We start from the raw sequence: 23079 nt of genomic DNA, 5'->3' as shown, positions 1-23079 counted from the left end.
TGTTTGCATGTTTTTCCTTAAGCTCTTCACATATATGTTTCTAATTGTTTATTATAATACACAAGTAATAGACAAATCTGTTTAAAATCATCGTGAAGAGATCAGTCTGTCATCTTCATTTTTCTATATATTGATCAGAGGTTCTTTTGAGCACATGTTGGTTAATAGCATAGTTCAGTAATTGAATTTAGTATTCAAATAAACTTTAAGCAACACTGGTAGTCTCTTATCCGTTAAGTTGAATAATTTTCTTTTATCTGTATTTGTTGAGTCAGTGGGCAGACAGGAGCTTATCTCTAAACTAGCAGGTGGTAGGTACCTCCCCAGTAGGTTTTACTTCTTTCAACAAAGAAGGCTTAAATTACAGTAATGTATCCTTGTTGGGTTCAAGAGTAATCAGTTTATTGTCTCTTTAAAAAAATAAGGGTACTTTTTCTAAATAAATATTAAACTCTCTTATTAACTTAAAAGCTTGCATGTTGATTTTTTAAAGCTCATTTGCAAGGATTAGGTAGATTTTGTGTGCATGTGTACTTAACTCCCAGTTAGGATATCACCTGTGCTTATGTTGGTTCATTTGCGTTTTTCAAACGGGCAAGTTTCTGGATATGGATAGCAACGTATGTACAAACATGTCTAACTAAAATTTGCAATATGAAAGGTAGGATGCAGAAAGGTATTTTTGTCAAAATAATCTATATTTTAAACTTAAAGATCTTTGCTAAACTGTGTGGGGGTAGATTAATATTGTACAGTGACTGTGTATCAATTCCATGAAAAACTTCAGTTGCAACAATTAAAAGTGCCAGGCCAGGCAGGGTGGCTCATGCCTGTAATCCTAGCGCTTTGGGAGCCAGAGGCGGGCAGATCACGAGGTCAGGAGTTTGAGACCAGCCTGGCCAACATGGTGAAACACCGTCTCTACTAAAAATACAAAAAATTAGCCGGACGTGGTGGCAGGCGCCTGTAATCCCAGCTACTCAGGAGGCTGAGACAGGAGAATCGCTTGAACCTGGGAGGCAGAGGTTGCAGTGAGTCAAGACCGTGCCACTGCACTCCAGTGTGGGTGACAGAGCGAGACTCCATCTCAAAAAAAAAAAAAAGAAAGTGCCATATTGATCTTATAAGTAAGTAAATACTAAGCCTTAGTCCAAACAGTTGGCAAACAGATGAAGTCATAATCATAACTATTTGAATTCCTAGCATATTTATGGCACTATAAAGCATTATGGCAGTTACAGAGACTTGTTTATATTTTCATTTGTATTTGTGGGCATAAAAAAATTACATATTTAGGAAGTAGCCTAAAATACTGAAGAGATGAGTATGTATCCAACAATGTTACTTGTTCTTACTTTAATCGTAAACTGACCAATTAGAAATCATAATTGAACACATTAGTTCATCTGTATTATTTTTCTTGAACAACTGAATACACAAGATTTAATGTTATTAAAAATTTTTCAGGTTAAAAGTGACATTCAATAATTGTTGGCAAGCTCATTTCTCTTCTACCTTCGTGCCAGAGCTGTGCATCTCCTAACAACTGCTGGATTTACATGAATATTGTAAAATATTTTATAAAAATTATTTTTCAATTTTAAATGAAGTTGATGGAGTATCATAAAAAGCAGCAAAGATATTGACTCAAGTAGTCAAATGGCTAAAAATGTTGAAGTTTTATTAATATACTTGAAAAATACTGGTTTTGAAATAATTTGATCTGTAATCTTCTCTCTGGAGCACGATTTCCTTTAAACTTCTTCAACTGTGTACAGGTTTGTTCTCACTGCACATATACCTGGACACCCACAGGCTGGTTTGGCATCCACCAGCCTTTTCTCTACTTTCACATTATCCTTTTCTTTAAAGACAAGAATTGTGTCCGTTATCTTTGTCCTCAGCACTGAGCATTTTGTCTGGAGCATAGCACTCTCAATAAATATGTTTTTAATTAATTTATAATCAGTGACCATTAATGGTTACTTTTGTATCATTTGGATTTGGCATCTAATGAGAAAATAGTAAGTTAAATTGCAAAGATCTTATTAAAAGCTCAATACATTATGTCTGTTCGGAGCTATGACATTTTGCAATAGAACGATACTGAGCTGCTTTGTATGTGTTCTCTTGGTCAGTATGTAATTTTTGCCAAGGACAGGCTCTACTTAAAAGTGATAACTCAAAATATCAAACCAACCAAAATATGGGTTCATACTATCCCCCTCTGTGGTTGCTTATCTCTTTGTGTTTGCAGCACACTCCTGAAAATGTAGTGCTGCTTTGTATCATTCCTTAACCCTGTGTATAACGCGCTGTTGCTTCCAGTTTTAAGACCAAGAATGTTAACTGCCTAGGAGGCAACATGGTATATTTCGCCTGTCAAGTCTTAAATAATATTTTCTTTCTTTCTTTTTTTTTTTTTTTTTTTTTGAGATGGAGTCTTGGTCTGTCACCCAGGCTAGAGTGCAGTGGTGCAATCTTGGCTCACCGCAACCTCCGCCTCCTGGGTCCAAGCAATTCTCCTGCCTCAGCTTCCCAAGTAGCTGGGATTACAGGTGCCTTCCACCATCCCCAGCTAATTTTTGTATTTTTAGTAGAGATGGGGTTTCACCATGTTGGTCAGGCTGGTCTCAAACTCCTGACCTCAAGTGATCCTCCCTCAGCCTCCCAAAGTGCTGGGATTACAGGCATGAGTCACCGTGCCTGGCCTTATATAATAATATTTTTTAATTGCTGTTTTAAAGCTAATTGCCATATGTGTTAGATTTTTATTACAGATTAGGTACAACTCTGTGTTTTGCAGTTCTTAGATATATACCCACTTTCTTTAGTGACTATAATCATTGAACTCATTTTTGTTAATCAAGTCTTTTAAATAACAGCTTTATTGAGAAAGAATTCTTATACTATAAAGTTCACCGTTTTAAAGTGTGCATTCAGAATTGTGCAACCATCACCACCATTTATTTTGAGAATATTTTCATCACCTCCAAAAGAAACCTCATGCTGTCTTTTTCTATCTCCTGCCATCCTGTGGCAACCACCAGTCTACTTTCTGTGTCTATGGATTTGCCTATTGTGAACATTTCATATAAACAGAATGATACAATATGCGGCCTTTTATGTCTGGCTTCTTTCACTTAGTATATTTTTGGAGTTCATTGAGAACTGAACTTCAGAACTTATTTTTGTGGAAATTCATTCAACTCACTATGTTCATTCAAAATACTGTAACTTGTCAGTATTTTGATCATTTTTAGAGCTAAAAAATACTTCATTGTATGGATATAACACATGGACATAAAATGGATTGTTCATTCATTCTTTCTAATGGACATTTGGATAATTTCCAAACCTTTTGGTTGTTAGCAACAATGCTGCCACGAACACTCATGTATACGTGTTTTATGTGGACATATGTTTCCATTTCTCTTATGAATATTTGTATGAATGGAATTGTTATGTCAAGTGGAAACTTAGTAACCTTTGAGGAACTGCCAAACTGTCTTGGAAAGCGGTGGCCCCATTTTATAATCAATCAGCAGTGTGTGAAGTTTCCAATTGCTTCACATTCTCACCAATACTTGTTATTTCCTGTCTTTTTTTTTTTTTTTTTTTTTTTTTTTTTTTGAGATGGAGTTTTGCTCTTGTTGTCCAGGCTGGAGTGCAATGGGTGGCGCGATCTCTGCTCACCACAACCTCCGCCTCCCAGGTTCAAGCAATCCTCCTACCTCAGCCTCCCTAGTAGCTGGGATTACAGGTGCCCACCACCACACCCAGCTAATTTTTTATATTTTTAGTAGAGACGGGGTTTCACTATGTTGGACAGGCTGGTCTCGAACTCCTGATCTCAGGCAATCCACCTGCCTCAGCCTCCCAAAGTGCTGGGATTACAGGTGTGACCCACCATGCCCGGCTTCTTTCCTGTCTTTTTAAATTTTGGCCATCCTAGTAGGTGTGAAGTGGTATTTTGTGGTTTTGATTTGCATTTTCCTGAAGATGCTTAGCATCTTTTTGTGAACCGCTTGTATCTTTTTTGGAGAAACATTTATTCAAATCTTTTGCCCATTTTTTATTAGGTTATTTGTCTTTTTATTGAGTTGTAAGGTTTTTTTTTTGTATTCTATATGCAAATCTTTTATCAGATCTATGATTTGCAAATACTGTTTCTCATTCTGTAGATTCTTTTTTTCACTTTCTTAATGGTGACTTTTGATGCACAAAAATTTTTATTTTTGATGAAGTTTATTTTTTCTTTGTTGCTTTTGCTTTTCCAAGAAATAATTACCTAATCCAAGGTCATGAATATTTAGTCTTGCGTTACATTGAGTTAGTTTTTGTATGTGGCTTGAGGTGGGGTCATTTCATTCTTTTGCTTGTGTATATTCAGTTGTCTCAGCACCATTTGTTGAAAAGACTGTCCTTCCTCCATTGGATTACTTTTTTGTCTTTGTGAAAGATTAAGTTGTCTCGTGACTCTTGCTGAAAAATTAATTGACCATAAATACCAGGTATTATTTATGAAATCTCCATTATATTCCATTGATTCATTATGCCAGTACCAGATTGTCTTGATTACTATAGCGCTGTAGTAAGTTTTGAAAATGGGAAATGTGAATTCTTGAACTTTGTTGTTTTGACTATTCAGGGTTCCTTGTAAATTTTAAAGTTAGATTGTCGTTTTTTGCAAAGAAACTAGCTGGAATTTTGATGCGGATTGTGTTCAATTTGTAGACCAATTTGGGGAATATTGTTATCTTAACAGTTTTAAGTTCCAATCTATGAACATAGGATGTCTTTTTGTTTATTTAGTTCTTATAATTTCCTTCAATGATGCTTTGTAGTTTTCAGTGTACAAGTCTTGCACTTCCTAAGTATTTTATTCTTTTTAATGTTATTGTAAATGAAATTATTCTCTTTATTTTAGGATTACCCATTGTTAGTGTATAGAAATACAGTTGTTAGTGTATAGAAATACAGTATATTGATACTGTATTCTGCAGCCTTGCTGAACTCATTTATTCTGGTATTTATTTTGGTGAATTCCTTAGGATTTTCTCTGTGCAAAATTATGGCATCAGTGAATAGAAGTAGTTTTATTTCATCCTCTTTAATCTGAATGCCTTTTATTTTTTCTTTGCCTAATTGCCTTGACTAGACACTCCAGTGCAGTGTTGAATGGAAGCTGTGAGAGCAGACATCTTTGTCTCATTCCTGATCTAGAGAAAAGCATTCAGTATTTCACAGTTAAATATGATGTTCACTGTAGGTGTTTTTGTAGATGCCTTTAATCAAGTTGAGGAAGTTCCCCTTTATTTCTAGTTTGTTGAGTGTTTTGTCGTTGTTTTAAAATCATGGAATGGTGTTACATTTTGTGAAGTTTTTTCCTGCTTCACTTGAGATGATCTCGTGATTTTTTATGTCCTTTATTCTGTTACTATGGTGTTATTATATTGATTGGTTTTTTGTTTGTTTGTTTTTTTGTATACTAAACCTACCTTGATTCCTGAGATAAGTGCCACTTGGTCATGGTTTAGGATCTTTTTAATATATGTGTGGATTTGGTTTACTGGTTTATTGTTAAGGATTTTTGTGTCACTATTCCTAGGGATATTGGTTTGGTGTGTGTATCTTTGTATATTATTTTAAAGTGTGATAATATATACATAACATAAAATTTACCATTTTATTCATTTTTAAGTGTACAGTTCTGTGGCATTAAGTACATTTAATTGTTCTGCATCCATCAGTCCCATCCATCTTCAGAACTACTTCATCTTCCCCAGCTGAAACTCTGTACCCATTACATACTAACTCCCTATTCCCCCCTGCACCCAGCCCTTGGCAACCAACATTCTGCTTTCTTCATCTGTGAATTTGACTACTCTAAGTACTTTCATATAAGTGGAATCATATAATATTTGTTTTTCTGTGATTGGCTTATTTCACTTGGCATAATATCTTCAAGATCTTCCATGTTGTAACATGTATCATAAACACATTTTCTTAAAGTTTGGATAATCCATGGTATGTTTATATCATATTTTGTTTATTCATTTGTTGATGGACACTTGGGTTGCTTCCACCTTTTGGCTATTGTGAATAATTCGGTTATGAACATGGGTGTACAAATATCTGCTCAAGCCTCTTCTTTCAGTTTTTTGGTATGTGTGTATCCAGTAGAGTTGCTCAATCACATGGTAGTTCCATTTAAGTTTTTGAGAAACCTCCATAGTGTTATTCATTGTAGGTGCACAGTTTTATACTCTTATCAGCAGTGTACAAAAGTTCCAGTTTCCCCACATCCTTACCAACATTTTTTTCTATATTTTTTATAATAACCATACTAATAGATGTGAAATTTCCTTGTCCATTTTTAATATCAGGGTAATACTTGCCTCATAAAATAAGTTGGGAAATGTTCCTTGCTTTTCTATTTTTTGGAAGACTGAAGGATTGATGTTAGTTCTTTAAACGTTTTGTATAATTCACTGGTGATGCCATCTGGTCCTGGGCTTTCCTTTGTGGGAAGTTCTTGATTACAAGTCATTCTTTTTACTTGGTACAGGTCTTCAGATTTTCTGTTTCTTCTTGAGTCAGTTTTGGTGGTTTATGCTTTTCTAGGAAATGTTCATTTTACCTGGGTTATCTAATTTGTTAGCATACATTTGTTAGTAGTATATCTTACCATATTTATTTCTGTAAGGTCAGTGGTAATGTTTTCTTGGCCTGGCGAGGTGGCTCACACCTGTGATCCCAGAACTTTGGAAGCCTGAGCTGGGAGGTTCACTTGAGCCCAAGAGTGTGAGAACAGGCTGGACAACATAGTGAGTCCCTGTCTCTACAAAAAAAAAAAAATCAGAAAGATGAACCAGGTATGGTGGTGTGCTTCTGTGGTCCCAGCTACTCAGGAGGCTGAAATGGGAGGTTTGCTTGAGCCTAGAAGGTCAAGGCTGCAGTCAGCCATGATTGTGCCTTTGCACTCCAGCCTGGATGACAGAGCAAGACTCTGTCTCAAAAATAAATAAAATAAAAAGTAGTGATGTTTTTTCTTTCATTCTTATTATTAAATTTGAATCCTCTTTCTTTTTCTCTTTGTCAGTCTAGTTGAAGGTTTGTCCCTTTTTTTTAAATTTTTTCAAAGAACCAACTTTTGGTTTTATTTATTATATATTTTTAAATTTATTTATTTCTACTCTGATCTTTTCTGTTTCCTTCTGCTTGCTTTGGGTTTAGTTTATTCTTGCTTTTCATGTTTCTGAAAGTGGGAGGTTATGTTGTTGATTTGAAATCTTTCTTCCTTTGTAATATAGGCATTACCAGTAAAAAATTTCCCTCTTGTGACCAGATATGTTGGCTCACACCTGTAATCCCAGCACTTTAGGAGGCTGACATGGGAGAATCGCTTGAACCTAGGAGTTCGAGATCAGCCTGAGCAACAAAACAAAACCCTATTTCTAAAACAAAACATAGTCAGGCATGGTGGTATGCAGCAGTAGTCCCAGCTGCTGGGGAGCTGGGAAGTGGGAGGATCCCTTGAGCCCTGGAGGTCAAGGCTGCAGTGGGCTGTGATTGTGCCACTGCATTCAAGCCTAGGCAGCAGAACAAGACCCCATGTCAAAAAAAAAATAAAAATAAAAATCCCAAAACAAACAAATTTCCCTTTAATCACTGCTTTTGCTGTACCCAAAAGTTTTATATTATATTTTAATTTTCATTCGTCTCAAAGCGCGTTCTTACCTATCTTGTGATTTCTTGTTTGTGCCATTGGTGATTAAGGAATGTGTTGTTTAATTTTCACATATTTTTGAATTTTCCATATTTCCTTCTGTTGATTTTTAATTCCATTGCAGTCAGACAACATATTTGGTATGATTTCACTTCTTTTAAATTGTTGAGGCCTGTTTTACAACCTAACATATGCTCTATCTTGGAGAATATTTCATGCGCACTTGAGGAGAATCTGTATTTTACTGTAATTGGGTGGAGAGTTCTGTAAATGTGTTTTAGGTCTATTTGGTTTATAGTGTTGTTTGAGTATTCTATTTTCTTGTTGATCTTTTGCCTAATTCTGAGGTATTGAAGTCTCCAACTATTATTGTTGGTGTATTTCTCTCTTTAATTCTGTTAATTTTTGCTTTCTGTGTTTTAGATCTCTGTTGTTAGATGCTTATGTGTTTATAATTGTTATATCTTCCTGATGGATTAACCTTTTATCATTACAAAATAACCTTTCCTGGCTGGGTGTGGTGGCTCGTGCCTATAATTCCAGCACTTTGGGAGGCTGAGGCAGGTGGATTGCTTGAGCTCAGGAGTTTGAGACCAGCCTCGGCAACATGGCAAAACCCCATCTCTATAAAAAATACAAAAATTAGCCAGACGTGGTGGTGTGTGCCTGTAATCTCAGCCACTTGGGAGGCTGAGGTGGAAGGATCATTTGAGCCTGGGACACAGAGGTTGCAGTGAGCTGAGATTACGCCACTGCACTCCAGCCTGGGTGACAGAGCCAGACCCTGTCTCAAAAAAACCCCCAAAACAGTGGGGAAAAAGAACAGCCTTTCTTGTCTCTAGTAACAGCTTTTCAGTGTCCTTTTTTCCCCCCCAATGTTATTGTAGTCACCCCTGCTCTCTTTGGTTATTGCTTTTAGGGTATATATTTTTTCATCATTTTATCTTCCTGTTGTATTGACCTTTTTATTATGAAGTGTCTTAGTTTCATTTCTTGCCTTAACGTCTGTTCTGTCTAATATAGCCATTCCAGCTCCTGTATGTGTGTATGATATCTTTTTACATCCTTTTATTTCAGTCTCTGTATCTTTGTCTAAATTGTGTTTGATGTAGACAGCATATGGTTGTATAATATATTTTAAAAATTCATTCTGCAAACCTCTGCCTTTTAATTATTGTCCATTTGCATTTAATGTAATTACTGGTAAGACAGGATTTACATTTGCCGCTTTGCTCTTTGTTTTCTTATCTCTTACATCTTTTTGTTCCTCTAATCGTCCATTACTCCTGTGTTTTATATTAAATACATATTTTCTGGTGTATCATTTTAATTCCCTTGTTTCTTTCTCAATATACATTTTTATTTTCTTCATGGTTGTCCTGGGGATTACAATTAATATCTTACATTTACAGAGAAGTAACCTTTACTCAGGTTCTTTAAATATTAACATTTTATCACATTTGCTTTATTTCTCTCTCTATGTATGTATTTAGATATACAGACATATATAATGTGCATGTGTGTATAAAATGTGTATGTATTTTGTTGTTCCTGAACTGTTTGAGAATGAATTACAGACACCATGCCCCTTTACCCTTATATACTTCCTAAAAATGAGGATATTCTCTTAACCTTAGTATATTTATCAAAACCAGGAAATTAACATTGATCCAGTACTAAATCCTTTGAAGCTAAAATGTAAAATAAAACACATAATAATTTCTGTTTCAAGATCCAGTCCAGGATACCATGTTGTTTTTGGTTGTCGTATTTGTCTAGTGTACTTGTCTTTGGTGACTCTGGCATTTTTTAGGAATAGAGGCTAGACCATTTTTAGACTGTTTTTTGGCCAGGCACGGTGGCTCACACCTGTAATCCCAGCACTTTGGGAGGCCCAGGCGGGCAGATCACTTGCGGTCAGGAGTTCAAGACCAGCCTGACCAACATGGCGAAACCCTGTCTCTCTCTACTAAAAATACAAAAATGAGCTGGACATGGTGGTATGCGCTTGTAGTCCCAGCTACTCGGGAGGGTGAGGCATGAGAATTGCTTGAACCCAGGAGATGGAGGCTGCAGTGAGCCAAGATGGTGCCACTGCACTCCAGCCTGGGTGACAAAGTGAGGCTCTGTCTCAAAAAAAATAAAAGACTGTTTTTCATTTCGGGTTTTCTCATTATTAGATTCAGGTTATACATTTTTGGTGGGAATATCAAAGAAGTGAGAATTGTGCTGTTTACAGTGCACCATATCAGGAGGCACATAATAAGATCTCCCCCCTTGCTCCCCCTTAGATTTAATATCTGCTAGGTACATTTGACGATTTCATATGTTGTTTGATTTATTAATTTCTGTAGAAATTAATGATGGATATCCCATGGTAATGAACTACACCCACCTCAGAATCAGCCTCAACAGGCTGCCATAACAAAATACCACAGACTGGGTGGCTTAAACTACAGAAACTTATTTTCTTACAGTTGGGGCTAGAAGTCCAAGATCAAGAAGTCATTAGAGGCCGGGCGCAATGGCTCACGCCTGCAATCCCAGCACTTTGGGAGGCCAAGGTGGGCATATCACGATGAGGTCAAGAGATCGAGACCATCCTGGCCAACATGGTGAAACCCCGTCTCTACTAAAAATACAAAAATTAGCCGGGCGTGGTGGCACATGCCTATAGTCCCAGCTACTTGGGAGGCTGAGGCAGGAGAATCGCTTGAACCCGGGAAGCGGAAGTTGCTGTGAGCTGAGATTGTGCCACTACACTCCAGCCTGGCAGCAGAGCGAGACTCCGTCTCAAAAAAAATAAAAATAAAAAAGAAGTCATTAGAGTTGGTTTCTGGTGAGGATTCTCTTCTGGGCTGCCTTCTTGCTGTGTCCTCACCTGGCCTTTCCTCTGTGCACTGACAAACAGGGAGATCTCTGATGTCCCTTCCCCTTCTCATTAAGACACAAGTTTTATTGGATTAGGGCCCTACCCTTATGACCTCATTTAACCTTGTTTATCTCCTTAAAGGCACTATCTCCAAATATAGTCACATTGAGAGTTAGGGCTTCAATTGATGACTTGGATTTGGGGGAGTAGACACAATTCAGTCCTTAACACTGATGATGCTAGGGGACTTTTGTTTCTTTCACCAAAGAGGCTCTAGTTTTTACATCTACTGAGTACATTTGATGATTTTATGTATGATTTGATATATTAACTCTATAGAAATTAATGATAGATACTCCATAGTAATGACGTATACCCACTTAGGAATCAGCCAAGTGAAATTTTTTGTTTTTATATGACTTAATTCCACTTTAATCCTAAGGTAATAAATTTAAGCATTTCACATGTGTGCAGATTTAAAACTATGCTAAATTTTTTACTATTTGAGTCCTATCAGGTTCCTTTAAGTGAAATTGGCTTACTTATAGTACTTATGAATTAAATGTATTTCTGAAAAGTGTTACGCTTTAAAAACTGAATTTTTCCCATGCATTGTGATTCTAAGCGTACTTAGTTCATCACCCCCTCCTTCTACCCTTGTCCAATTTACATTGTCTTCTATGCTTAATTACCTTCCTGTTTTTTGTTTTATTTAGTTACAGACTTTGTTGGGGTGGGGGGAGAAATGTGTTGGATTTCTTTAGATATCATTGATATGGCATTGAAGTTAGTTTTCTTCTGTGTTTTATGATTTCTGCTTTATATTTATGATCTTTTTCTTCATTGAGGTTAAACATGATTTTTAAATGGGATTATTTTATTTTGTAATGATTAAATTATATAGTAAATTGTGAGGATATGTAGGTTTCCAAAAAAAAAAAATACAAACTAGTGTGCGTATTAGGCAATTTGGGGTCCTGTTTGCTTTGTTACAAATTAGCATGGTGAGAACTGAAGGAAAGTCTGGCAGTTACCCTATTAATAGTTGAAGCTTTATATGGATTATTTTTCCATTTAACAATATTTATTAAATACCTACTTTATGCTAGGTGCCAGCTTCTAGAGATACAGAGGTGGTCAAAAATAGATAAGGTCCATGCCCTTAGGCAGCTTGGTCTAGTGAGGGGCAAACAAATCACAGATAAATGTAAAATTACACCTGTGAGTAGTGCTGTGAAGGAGAGGTTGAGGATGGTAAGGGTATATGATAACTGAAGGAATTTGTCTATTTTAGAAATTCTGGAAAGGCTTCCCTGAAAGAATTAAAGATGTGTAGGAGTTAAGTAGGTTAAAGAGAACAGAAAGATGAGTTCAGGAATAGTGGCGTAAAGCAACCATTGATTGTGCCCGTAGATTCTGTGGGGATGGGATTCAGACAGCAGTTTATCTCTGCTCCATGATACTGAGAACCTCAGCTGGAAGACTAAGTCTGGGGATGACTTGATGACTGTAGGCTGGACTCATGTGAAGGCTCCTCCTCTGGCCTTCAGGGGCTGGTTGTCCAATGAGACCTTAGTGAGTCTATTGGACAAAACAACCATACGGGCCCTCTGCATTTAGCCTGGGTTCCCTCAGGACATGGTGTCCATGTTGCAGGAGGGGGTGTCCCAAGAGAGAACCAGGAGGAAGCTGTAGTGCCTTTCATGACCTAGGCTTAGACATGTCTCTTTCTGCTGTATTCTATTCACCGAGGCATGCACACACACAGTTCCACCCTGGTTCAGATCCAGGGGAAGTAAATGCCACTTTATTATGAAGAGAGACAAGGTTCTGGAAGAGTATGTGGGGCCAGAAATACTGCTGTGGCCTTTTGGGAAAATAGTCCGATACATGAAGCATTATGCCTGACAAGAAGCTAAATCCCAGAGAAATGATCTGGAGTGCAGAAAGCTAGAGAGAGACAGTTAGGGGATAGACCATTCAAGGCCTTGTAAAATATTTTAAACATGATTTAGGCTTATCTTAAGAACAGAGAAAAGCCATGAAGATTTTAAGGTTAACGTCAGATTAGTGCTTTATGAAGATCAGTATGAAGAGTAAATGTGTGTATGAGGCAGATGGAGCCCAGTTAGGGAGCTGGTGAAGTAATCTAGGCATAAACCAGGGCTAGGTGGTAGCTGTGGAGATGGACAGAAGTAGAGGAATTGGAGAGAAATGTATGAGGTCCAATCACCAGGTCCTGGGGATGGGGATGGGAGAACCAAGTGTTAAGAATGGAATTGGAGAGAAATGTATGAGGTCCAATCACCAGGTCCTGGGAATGGGGATGGGAGAACAAAATGTTAAGAATGATCCCCTGGCTTCTGGCTATGCTACTAGATGAATCTGGTGCCATTCACTGGGATGAAGAACACAAGAAGGGGACCAGGATTTACGGGGGAAGGATCATGAATTTGGTTTGGGGCAAACATTGAATTAGAGAAGATGTCAAATAGGCAGTTGCATTTGTGGGTCTGAAGCTCAGAGGAGAAGTCTAAGCTGGAGATAGAAATGTATGAGTCATCTACAGATAGGAGGTAATTGACATCTGGAGTGTGGATATGGTCAACCAGAGAAATCGACAGGAACAAAAAGAGAAGGCGGCTTAGCACTGGGGTTTGAGGAACTGAAGTATTTGATGACTAGGAAGATGAAGATGTACCAGAAGAGGAGACAGACTAGAACAGCCAGACCCATGGGAGGAGAACAGAGAGTGTGCTGTTCTAGGAGGCAGGGAAAAGAAGCCAGCATTTCAAGAGGAGGGAGTGGGCAGAAGGTCCGATACTCCTGAGAGGTAAGGTTAGGACTGAGACTTAATTGGATTTAGTGAAATAAAGTTCAGTGATGACCTTAACAGTAGCCATTTTGGAGAATAGGGACTCTGGAATCCAGATTGGGGTGTTGTCAGGAATGAGTCAGTGGTGTGGAGATGAAGATGGCAAATATAGATACCTCTTTGAAGAATTTATCCCCTCAGTGAGAAAAGAAATGTGAAGACAGGAGGGTTGTTGATGAAGGCAAGCATTTGATATTTTATCATGAGAAATGGGCAGTTTTTTGTTGTTGTTGTTGTTTGTTTTGTTTTGTTTTGTAGAGAGACAGGCTCTCACTCTGTTGCTCAGGCTGGTCTTGAACTCCTGAGCTCAAGTGATCCTCCCACCTCAGCCTCCCAAAGTGCTAGGGTTACAGGCATGAGCCACCATGTCCGGCCTAGACAGTTCTTTTTATTTATTTATTTATTTATTTATTTATTTATTTATTTATTTATTTATTTATTTTGAGACGGAGTCTCACTCTGTTGCCCAGGCTGGAGTACAGTGGTGCAATCTCAGCTCTCTGCTCACTGCAAGCTCCGCCTCCCGGGTTCACGCCATTCTCCTGCCTCAGCCTCCCGAGTAGCTGGGACTACAGGCGCCCGCCACTACACCTGGCTAATTTTTTTGTATTTTTAATAGAGACGGGGTTTCACCGTGTTAGCCACGATGGTCTCGATCTCCTGACCTCGTGATCCACCCGTCTCGGCCTCCCAAAGTGCTGGGATTACAGGTGTGAGCCACTGCGCCCGGCCTGGACAGTTCATTTTTAACGAAAGAGATGAGGTCACCTTCTAAGCGAGCGAGTAGAGATGCCAAAATGATAAAAGTTGAGAATATTTGAGATATTCTTGGTGAAAGATGTGATTATAGGAAAGAAAGGTAGAATCCATGCTATTGGTATTAATAGCTACCATTGATTCAGTATCTGCTCTGTGTTACATAGGAAATTTTTAGAGTAATCACTAATTAGTTTTATTTGCTTTTTATCTTAATCCCTTTTCGTCAGAAGAATGATGAGAATGGAAACTGCTCAGGGGAAGGAATTGAATTCCCTACAACAAATTTATATGAACTGGAAAGCCGTGTTTTGACTGATCATTGGTCCATCCCTTACAAGCGAGAAGAATCACTAGGCAAATGCCTGTTGGCATCTACCTACCTAGCAAGACTTGGTAAGTTTTCAGACCTTAGAACACATGAGGACATTTGTTTCATAGAAGGCCTGAGTTTAATCTTAGCCTTTGTTGTTGCCTAGCTGTGTGTTATTGGACAGATCATTTATTCTCTTAGTCTTCACTTATCTCCTGCAGAAGAAAAGCTTTGAACCAAATTAATTGTTTTCTTCTACCTTTGATAGAGTATAAGATTATTTAAAATATAATTGAAAAGCTTAATGGAAATTGAAATTAACTTTTTCCACAGAAGCTTGGAGTACTTTAAATTAAGGCTCATCAATTCAACAGCTTTTTTTTTAAGAGAAGAAAGTTATATTTATTTAACAAACTTGTGCTTATTAAGTACCTGACATTGTTTTAAGCTTTATAAATATCAAGCTATTAAAATAATAAAATATCAATAGGTTGGAAGAGTGGGTGTCAGTATGAACACCTGTACTAAAAAAAGAGAAAATAACTTATTTTTTCATATTGAATTCAGTTATGAAATGAATATGGCCAGAATATGGTGTATTTCTGACTGGCTTCTCAGCAGTAGCATTTATTGAGCACCTGTTAGGATCTAGGTACTATGCTAGGCAGTGGGTCTGAAAAAAAGAGAGTGTGTTTAGCAGTATTCCCAATGATAAGCAAAACCTATTATTGAGTTTAATAAAGAAATGTACTTTTTCCAAAAGATGATTTTACAGGGAACTTATTCATTAACTTAGCAAGTATTTATCACTTACTATGTGAATTGTGCCAGACACAAATCTGTGTAATGGAGTTCATTGGTTTGTTTTAGGGAAGAAGAGTAATTTAGGCATTTATTGCAAATATTTGTGTGGTTTTTTGGTTTTTGTTTTTGTTTTTGTTGTTTTTTTTTTTTTGGTTTTTGATTTTTGAGACAGGGTTGCTTAGGCTGCAGTGCAATGGCGTAGTCATGTCTCACTGCAGCCTCAACCTCCCAGGCTTAAGTGATCCTCCTACCTCAGCCTCCCAAGTAGCCGGGACAACAGGCAAGCACCACCACACCCAGCTTTTTATTTTTTGTAGGGACGGGGTTTCACTGTGTCGCCCAGGCTGGTCTCAAACTCTTGGGCTCAAGTGATCCTCTTGCCTCGGCCTCCCAAAGTTCTGGGATTAGAAAATATTTGTGTTTCTATAGAACTTTTTAGGGAAATAATAATGGCTAGTAAGTAGCTGCTGTTGGTGTTTTATTAGCTATTTAATCAGATCATTGAAGTTACTCTGACATGGAAATGTAAGTTCAATCATTTCAGTTCAATTGGTATTTATTTAATCTAATGCTATGGTTATTTCTCAGCCTTTCCTTCATCAAAGGTATATATTCTACTTTTAATAATTTCGTAAGAACTAAGGTTCCTATGACATAGTTCCATATGTATGGATTTAGAATGATGTATATGATTTTTACGAACTACCAAAGACCTAAATAACGTGTATTATTTCATTCATTTTACTAAGGTCTTTCTGAGTCTGACTTAAATAAAGTATATTATTTCATGCATTTTACTAAGGTCTTTCCGAGTCTGATGAGAATTGTAGAAGGTTTATGGACAGGTGTATGCCTGAAGCATTTAAAAAGGTAAGAAAAATGTGCTGCTGTGATATTTTGTGTGTGTCGGGGTGGGGGCAGGGTGAAGGAAGAGAAGCTTTTTGTTTTAATTTTAGTTTTTTATGTATAAGACCAGTTTATGAATCTTGTTTAACTGAGGAATCCTCTAATATGAAAAACGGAACTCTGAATTTGGGGCTTATAAATGATTTACTTCTTTTATATTGTCTGTATGTGTCTTTGGTTAAATATAACTTTTATTAATAATAAATACTTCCTACTATTTAATTGCTAAAGAATAGATTAAGACTTAATTATACTAGACTTAATAGATTAAGACTTAATTATACTAGGATATTGCACATATTAGTAAACAAAGGCTTGTGGCACTTAGAAAGACAGTATACACTTATCAAAATATGAGCCATTTTAAGTGTGTGAGACAGGAGAAGACATTTTAAACTACTAAAAGATTGACTAGGTATTCTCACTGACATGCATAAGGCACCATCTCTATTAGAGCCAGAGTGATATGCCTACTTCCATTTGGGTCACATCTCTTAGAAAGCAGTGTTTCTTAACAATGGGAATGGGAGATCACAAGAATTGTGTTTCTAAAAACAGACTGAATCAGCCTCCCTTTTTAGCAGATGAGCCTTGAATCCTCATTAGAGCAAGGACTGTGTCTGTTAACATACTGCCCTTTCCCCCAGCATATAACTAAGTGCCTAGCTCATAGAAAGAGCTCAGAAAAGTTGCAATGAATGATTCTTTTGCTGGCTTAACTGCTGGATTTTGACACCCATTTTTGTCCAATATGTAAATAAGTCACTAGAACTACAGATGGGTAATGTTTGCGTTTATCTTAAGACCCAGTTAAGGCCGGGTGCAATTGCTCACGCCTGTAATCCCAGCACCTTGGGAGGCCAAGGCAGGCAGATCACAAGGTTAGGAGTTCAAGACCAGCCTGGCCAACATAGTGAAACCCTATCTCTACTAAAAATGCAAAAAATTAGCTGGGCCTGGTGGTGGGCACCTATAATCCCAGCTACGCAGGAGGCTGAGGCAGGAGAATCTGTTGAACCCGGGAGGTGGAGGTTGCAGTGAGCCAAGATCACACCATTGCACTCCAGCCCGCGTGACAGTGCGAGGCTCCGTCTCAAAAAAAAAAAAAAAAAAAAAAAAAGAGACCCAGTAAAACAAAGAGTTCATTTGCAAATAGTTATTCCCAGTTGCATTTTGGTAGGCAGAATCTCCCTTGATTCAAGCCTTAAAAAATATATATATAATTAATTTTAGAAGCAAAAGTAGCTTCATTTTTTAAAAAATGGAGAAATCTTTTCAAATTGTCATTTGGGCAAAGATTATATGAAATGAAGATTTATCTTCATTTTAGATTAGCTCATCCATCAGTTTGTAGTTTAAAATAATTTTAAGCTTTTAAGAATTACAGCAGCTTTTAAAAAATCCAAAATTGGCTAGGCCCAGTGCTTCGCACTATAATCCCAGCACTTTGTGAGGCCAAAAGCGGGAGGACATCTTGAGGCCAGGAGTTTCAGACCAGCCTGGGCAACATGTGAGACCCCTGTCTCTACAAAATTTAAAAAAAGTAAAATAAAAATAGCAAAATTGTTATATTGTAACATACTGTGACACACATCACAGTGGATGCATAAACTTAAAAGGAAAAGTGTATTCAGAGTTGTGGAAAAGGACTTATTCAAGGTTGAGGATCTCCAGATCCAGAAATCCGTGTATCCAGTCCATTCACCAGCAAGTTGCATATTTGGAATATAATACTCTAACTCTGTACAGAGATACTTCAGAAAACTGTTTTGTCTCATGCCTTCAGCTGTTAGGAGCAGTATAATAAATGGTCACATGGTTGGTCATTTTTCTGTAAAACTGTGAGTACAAAGGTACCATGCCTTATATTATTCAGTTTTGTTAAAGTAAAAATATTAAATTCTTTTGCACTTTAGAGCTATTAAAAAGGTTCTCCTCCCCGTCAATTAGGCATACTTTCTTTTATTAAATCAGAAGAGCTAGAGTTCTGTGTGCCTTTAGGCTTGTCTGCCAGAAAACTCAGTAGGATTTGATATAATTGGTACTACTTACCTAGCTGTGTTTCTCGGTTCGATGACCATCCCTCTCCCCAATTCCCCAGGCTTTTCTCACGAGCTGTCACACATTTTCTTTTAGAAGTAAGGGTATGAATGATATGTGATTACATAAATAAGGTGCACAAAGGAGCTTTGTTGTCATTTCCACCTTCTTCACCTTTTACCTTCAGGCTAGCCTGGATTTTTACTAGTGTATTCAGGCAGAGAAGATAATTCAGGTTTGACCATAGTGCATGGTTATGTTTAAACCTTGTGTGCATCTTCTTCACAAGGTACTGCCTGCCTTTCCCTATCTCTTCTAGAATGTAGGCAGAATTGCATTTTCAAAGTGAAAAATGAGCAAATGGAATGGTGCCAGAGGGATTGCTGCTTAATCCACATACATTTTTATTTTGTAGTCACTTGAAGCTTCTTAATTGGTAATCTCTGCTTTGTTTTGCTTTATTATTTAATTTTTAACTATAGGAGGAATATATAGTCAGGCAAAAAAAATTCTGCAAAAAATAGTAACTTACTGGTTTACATAAAATCAGTCTTATGACTTCTGCTAATTTGAGCAAGTAGTGCGGCTAATTAGTATTTAGAAAATCTGGAACCGAGGTTTTTCTCTGCAGCTATTACAGTTTGGGCTCTTCCAGCCTGCTCTTTTTAAAGAGGTTCTCAGTGAAGCCAAGATGAAATTTTTGTTGTATAGTATTTTCCCTTTGAATATTTGTTGCATAGTATTTTCCCTTTGAAAAATCTTACAAAAACATGAAACCACCATACCAATTTAAGTGAAATCCTTTGATTTTTCATTTCTTGTTCTGGCACTTGTTCTACACTTCCCCAAAGACCAGAAGACTGAGAATTAAGGGCATTCAATTTCTCTACTTTTTAAGGAATCTAAGAAAGTATCTAATTATAAGATTTGTACCATTGTTTTATATTTGATGTTTTATGTTTAAGAAACATAGCTACAAAGTAAACAGTTTAATGTCTTAAAACTTAGAGCTAATTTAGATTTGCTTAAACAATTAAAAAAAAATATTATTTTGTACATACCAAAAAGGAAAATGTAAGCCAAATAAACTGTTAAGATATTTCTAAGATTTTTTTTCACATTCTGAGTCCTGCTGTCATCTAGTCAACAGGTAGAAAAAAATTATCCTATTTCTGAGATGTTAAAAAATATTAAAAGGATATGTATGTTAGAATCCGTGCAATACAGCATTCATTTCTTAGGTTCCAGAAATATTAATATGGACAGCCAGCCATCAAGATATATTAATAATGCCTTACCATTTATAAAATGCTTTTATATTTGTTATATCTTTTAATCCTCATAACATTTGTATGAAGTAGGTAAGAGTTATGCCTCTTTAGAGATAAGAGAACTGAGCCGTTGAGAACTCAGGTAAATTTGTTCAAGGCCACACAGCTAGAAAACAGTAATACTGGAATTGATCTCAGGTTTTTACCTTGCTCGGCACCATTTGACCTACCCTTGTAATTATGAAAAGTAGAGGACCAAATAAAATTTTTCTTTTAAACAAAGTGCTTTCATGCAAGAGAATTAAAATTCAAAAGCAAAACTCTGTATTGACTTTGAAATAAATGGGCAAGTAGATGAACTACAGCTATGGGTCTTTTAAAAGCCAATCATCTACATAAAAAAGTATTTTCATCATAATCTCTCACTTATTTGAGATGGACTTGATAAACTGTAGATTTATTTTCTTTTTTCAAGTTAGACTCTAGATTGCCCTTTATGTTTTTATAGCTCCTGACATCAAGTGCTGTTCACAAGTGGGGTACTGAAATTCATGAAGGAATTTACAACATGTTGATGCTATTAATAGAACTGGTCGCAGAGAGAATAAAACAAGATCCAATTCCCACTGGTCTCCTGGGTGTGCTTACAATGGTATAGTATCTCTAAAATTAAGTACTTTGTGTTTTGATTTTGTTTAAAATACTTGCTGTTCTCTGACTTGTAATTAATAATGAGTGATAATAATTTTATCGTTAAGGATATTAGCTGTTAGGATCCTTTGTCTTTATTTTAAAAGCAGAGCAACCATCTTGTGTTCTCAGTTTGAAAGAAGTGCTTTTCTAATTTTAATGGGTTTTTCAACTTACGGAATGATTAAATGCCTTTCTCTTACCTCTCCCCGATTATTCATGTCTTAAATACTTTCATATGGAGTGTTCATGTAGATGGAGTTTGGTTTCTGGCCTTTTCCCCCAACAGGTAACAGTAGCTGCATGAAGAAGGGACCCTCATATTTTCCCCTCCTGACTTCTGCCCTCAGTGCCTCTGTTCCTCATCTCATCCCCGGTAGCCCTAGCACACTTGGGGCATTGGCATCACACTGCCTTGAGTCAGACCTCTTATCCTGTTACCTCCTCCTCTTCCTTCACAGTGAACACTGAACAGGACAGGAGAATAGCACATTAATTCTTAGCACTTTTGCACTAGCTAAGGCGTATGCTTTCGGTGTATTCTTGAAAGATCCCATTAATGAGGGGAGTCAAAGGCTATATTTTTATCTTCTTTTCTAATGCTAATATGTGTTGCTATAGAAATAGATAATAATGTTTCTCTGTTCTCTTTGAATCTAGGCTTTCAATCCTGATAATGAATACCATTTTAAAAACAGAATGAAAGTGTCTCAAAGGAATTGGGCAGAAGTGTTTGGAGAGGGAAATATGTTTGCTGTTTCACCTGTATCGACTTTCCAAAAGGTAAACATCATTTAGTTTCATCTTTTTATAGAAAAATGTATTGAAAAAGAAGATTTTCTGTGCTATAAAAAAGACAAGTTACATGGGAGGATTAAAACAATCTGAAAAATGACAAATATCCCATCTGGCTCATAAAATTGCCTACATTTTTTTTCAGACAGTGCATAATTTTTCCATAGCTCTTAACTAATATCATGAAGAATTTTATAGGTTTGAAATGATGTTTAGTAAAATGAGAAATGTCTTTAGCGTCATCTATTAGATTATCAGAACCCCAGTTTAATTGGTGTTCCAGTTTCTTAGAGAGAGTTGAGAGACTATAGCATTTAAAATGATTACTTGTACCTAGAAAAAATAATCTAGTACTTAATCTCATATATATTTTCTTTTGAACTTCATATGCATTAAAACTTGCTTTTTCAGGCCTGGAACCAGTATATTTTATATCAAAAGACTACAGTCTGCCAATAAGAGTATACTCACAAGAAGTAGATAATCTAAACAGTCCTTTAGTTAAAACACTGTTTGGTTTCAGAAACAGTTGAAAGAAGTTGAGTTTAATCAATAGAAAACTGGTTCATTGCTTTAGTGGAAGCAGAGGTTTAGGTCAGCAATCATTTATTTAACATTTACTATGTGTCTGGCATTATTCTAAGTTTGAGGTATAAACATAAGTACACAGTCCTGTCTTTTAATATAAACAGTAATAAGATGTGATTACTAGCTTGTAGTATAGTGGAGGAAATACGAAAACAAAAAAATGACAGCATAATAAATAGTAGGTGGAATTATAATAATATGTACTGTACATAGAATCCAGGGGAAGGGGTAGTTATTGCCACCTTGAGGAGTCAGACAGTTCCCCAGAGAGGAGGAAAAAGCTGAGTGGAAAGGACAGTGAATATGTACTTTGGAATTTAATCCCCACAATGGCTCTTTGAGTTGGGTACTATTTTTACCCCCATTTCATAGGTGAGAACTGAAACAGACAGAAGTGAAGTACTTGCCCAAGTCCACATACCTAGTTACAGGGAGAACCCATGCAGGCAGCTAGTCTATGTTCTTTAACCATATGCAGTATTGCCTCCCCAAATGCTAAACTCTTCTCTTCAGATGTGTTGTGAAGATCAAGTGACAAATACACATAGAAATACTGAACGTGGTGGTTCACTCTAGTGAGCGCTCAGCAGATGTTCATTCTCTTTTTTTCACTTTACGTATGCATCCACTGAGACCCAGAAAGGTGCAGTCTTTGTGTTTCCTCTCATTACCACAAAGGAATTCTCTCTCCTCTAGATCCCCTCTTCTCTTGCCTTCTCAAGCATATTCCTCCTTCAGCTTTCTATTTTTTCTTTGGTATCCTCAATCTTTCCCTCACTGTTGGGATTGTTACTCTTGTATGCAACATGATGTAGTATTTCCCATCTTTAAATATTCTGCCTTTAATATCATATCCCTCTGTATGGTCCTCTGCTCCCCTTCCCAACCAGACCTCCTGAAGATTCCATGTCCTCCCTCTCAGTTATTCTTTCAGTGGTTATCCTAAAATGTTAACTTACTAAACAAAATCTAAATTTCACTAGTATCTTTCTCCTCCTTGAGCAGTACATAAAGACCTTAGAATGTTGCATGTGCTCGCTCCCCTCTTAAATGATTCATTACCTCTTTATTTTACTTGTGCATTGTCTTAGTCCCCTCCTATCATTTTTTACCCGGTAAAGTTGATAGTGCATTCTATAAAGAATCCTTTAGTAAGGTTCTGTTTGTGGGTAAGTCTTGGTTTTTGATGGCCTGAACTTTACTTTATTTCCCATTCCTTGAAGTATGTATTTTCACTGGGTTCAAAAGTCTAGATGATATTTCTTTTCTCTCAGAATATTAAAGATACCATTTCACTGTCTTGTGGCTTTGATTATTGCTGTGGAGAAGTTGGCTATTGATCTGACTGTGGTTCTTCTATTAGAAGTCTCTCTCTCCTCCATGGCTGTATTTTGAAATCTTTTCTTTCTCTTTAATGTTTGTAAATTTGATTGTAAT

General features: G+C 36.9%; 1 protein-coding gene across 10 annotated transcripts in view; it reads left to right on the top strand.

Annotated features, from left to right (window-relative positions):
* The window catches only part of USP24 (ubiquitin specific peptidase 24), a 149006-nt gene that overhangs the window by 22767 nt on the left and 103160 nt on the right, over positions 1–23079 (top strand). For 8 of the 10 annotated variants that reach the window (XR_001737080.2, NM_015306.3, XM_017000831.2 and 5 more), the window contains exons 2-5: positions 14466–14631; positions 16155–16222; positions 20078–20221; positions 20920–21042. Coding sequence is in view for 9 of the 10 variants with exons in the window: in NM_015306.3 (NP_056121.2) it covers positions 14466–14631; positions 16155–16222; positions 20078–20221; positions 20920–21042 (501 nt within the window). In the remaining variant the exon portion in view is untranslated. The remainder of the gene's footprint in view (positions 1–14465; positions 14632–16154; positions 16223–20077; positions 20222–20919; positions 21043–23079) is intronic. The other 2 variants (XM_047416524.1, XM_017000832.2) reach the window with 1 other exon arrangement.

This window comes from Homo sapiens, chromosome 1 (assembly GCF_000001405.40).
Source record: "Homo sapiens chromosome 1, GRCh38.p14 Primary Assembly".
Lineage (NCBI taxonomy): Eukaryota > Metazoa > Chordata > Mammalia > Primates > Hominidae > Homo > Homo sapiens.
Note: the sequence above shows the minus strand (reverse complement) of the source record. Positions and strands in the feature narration are given on the sequence as shown.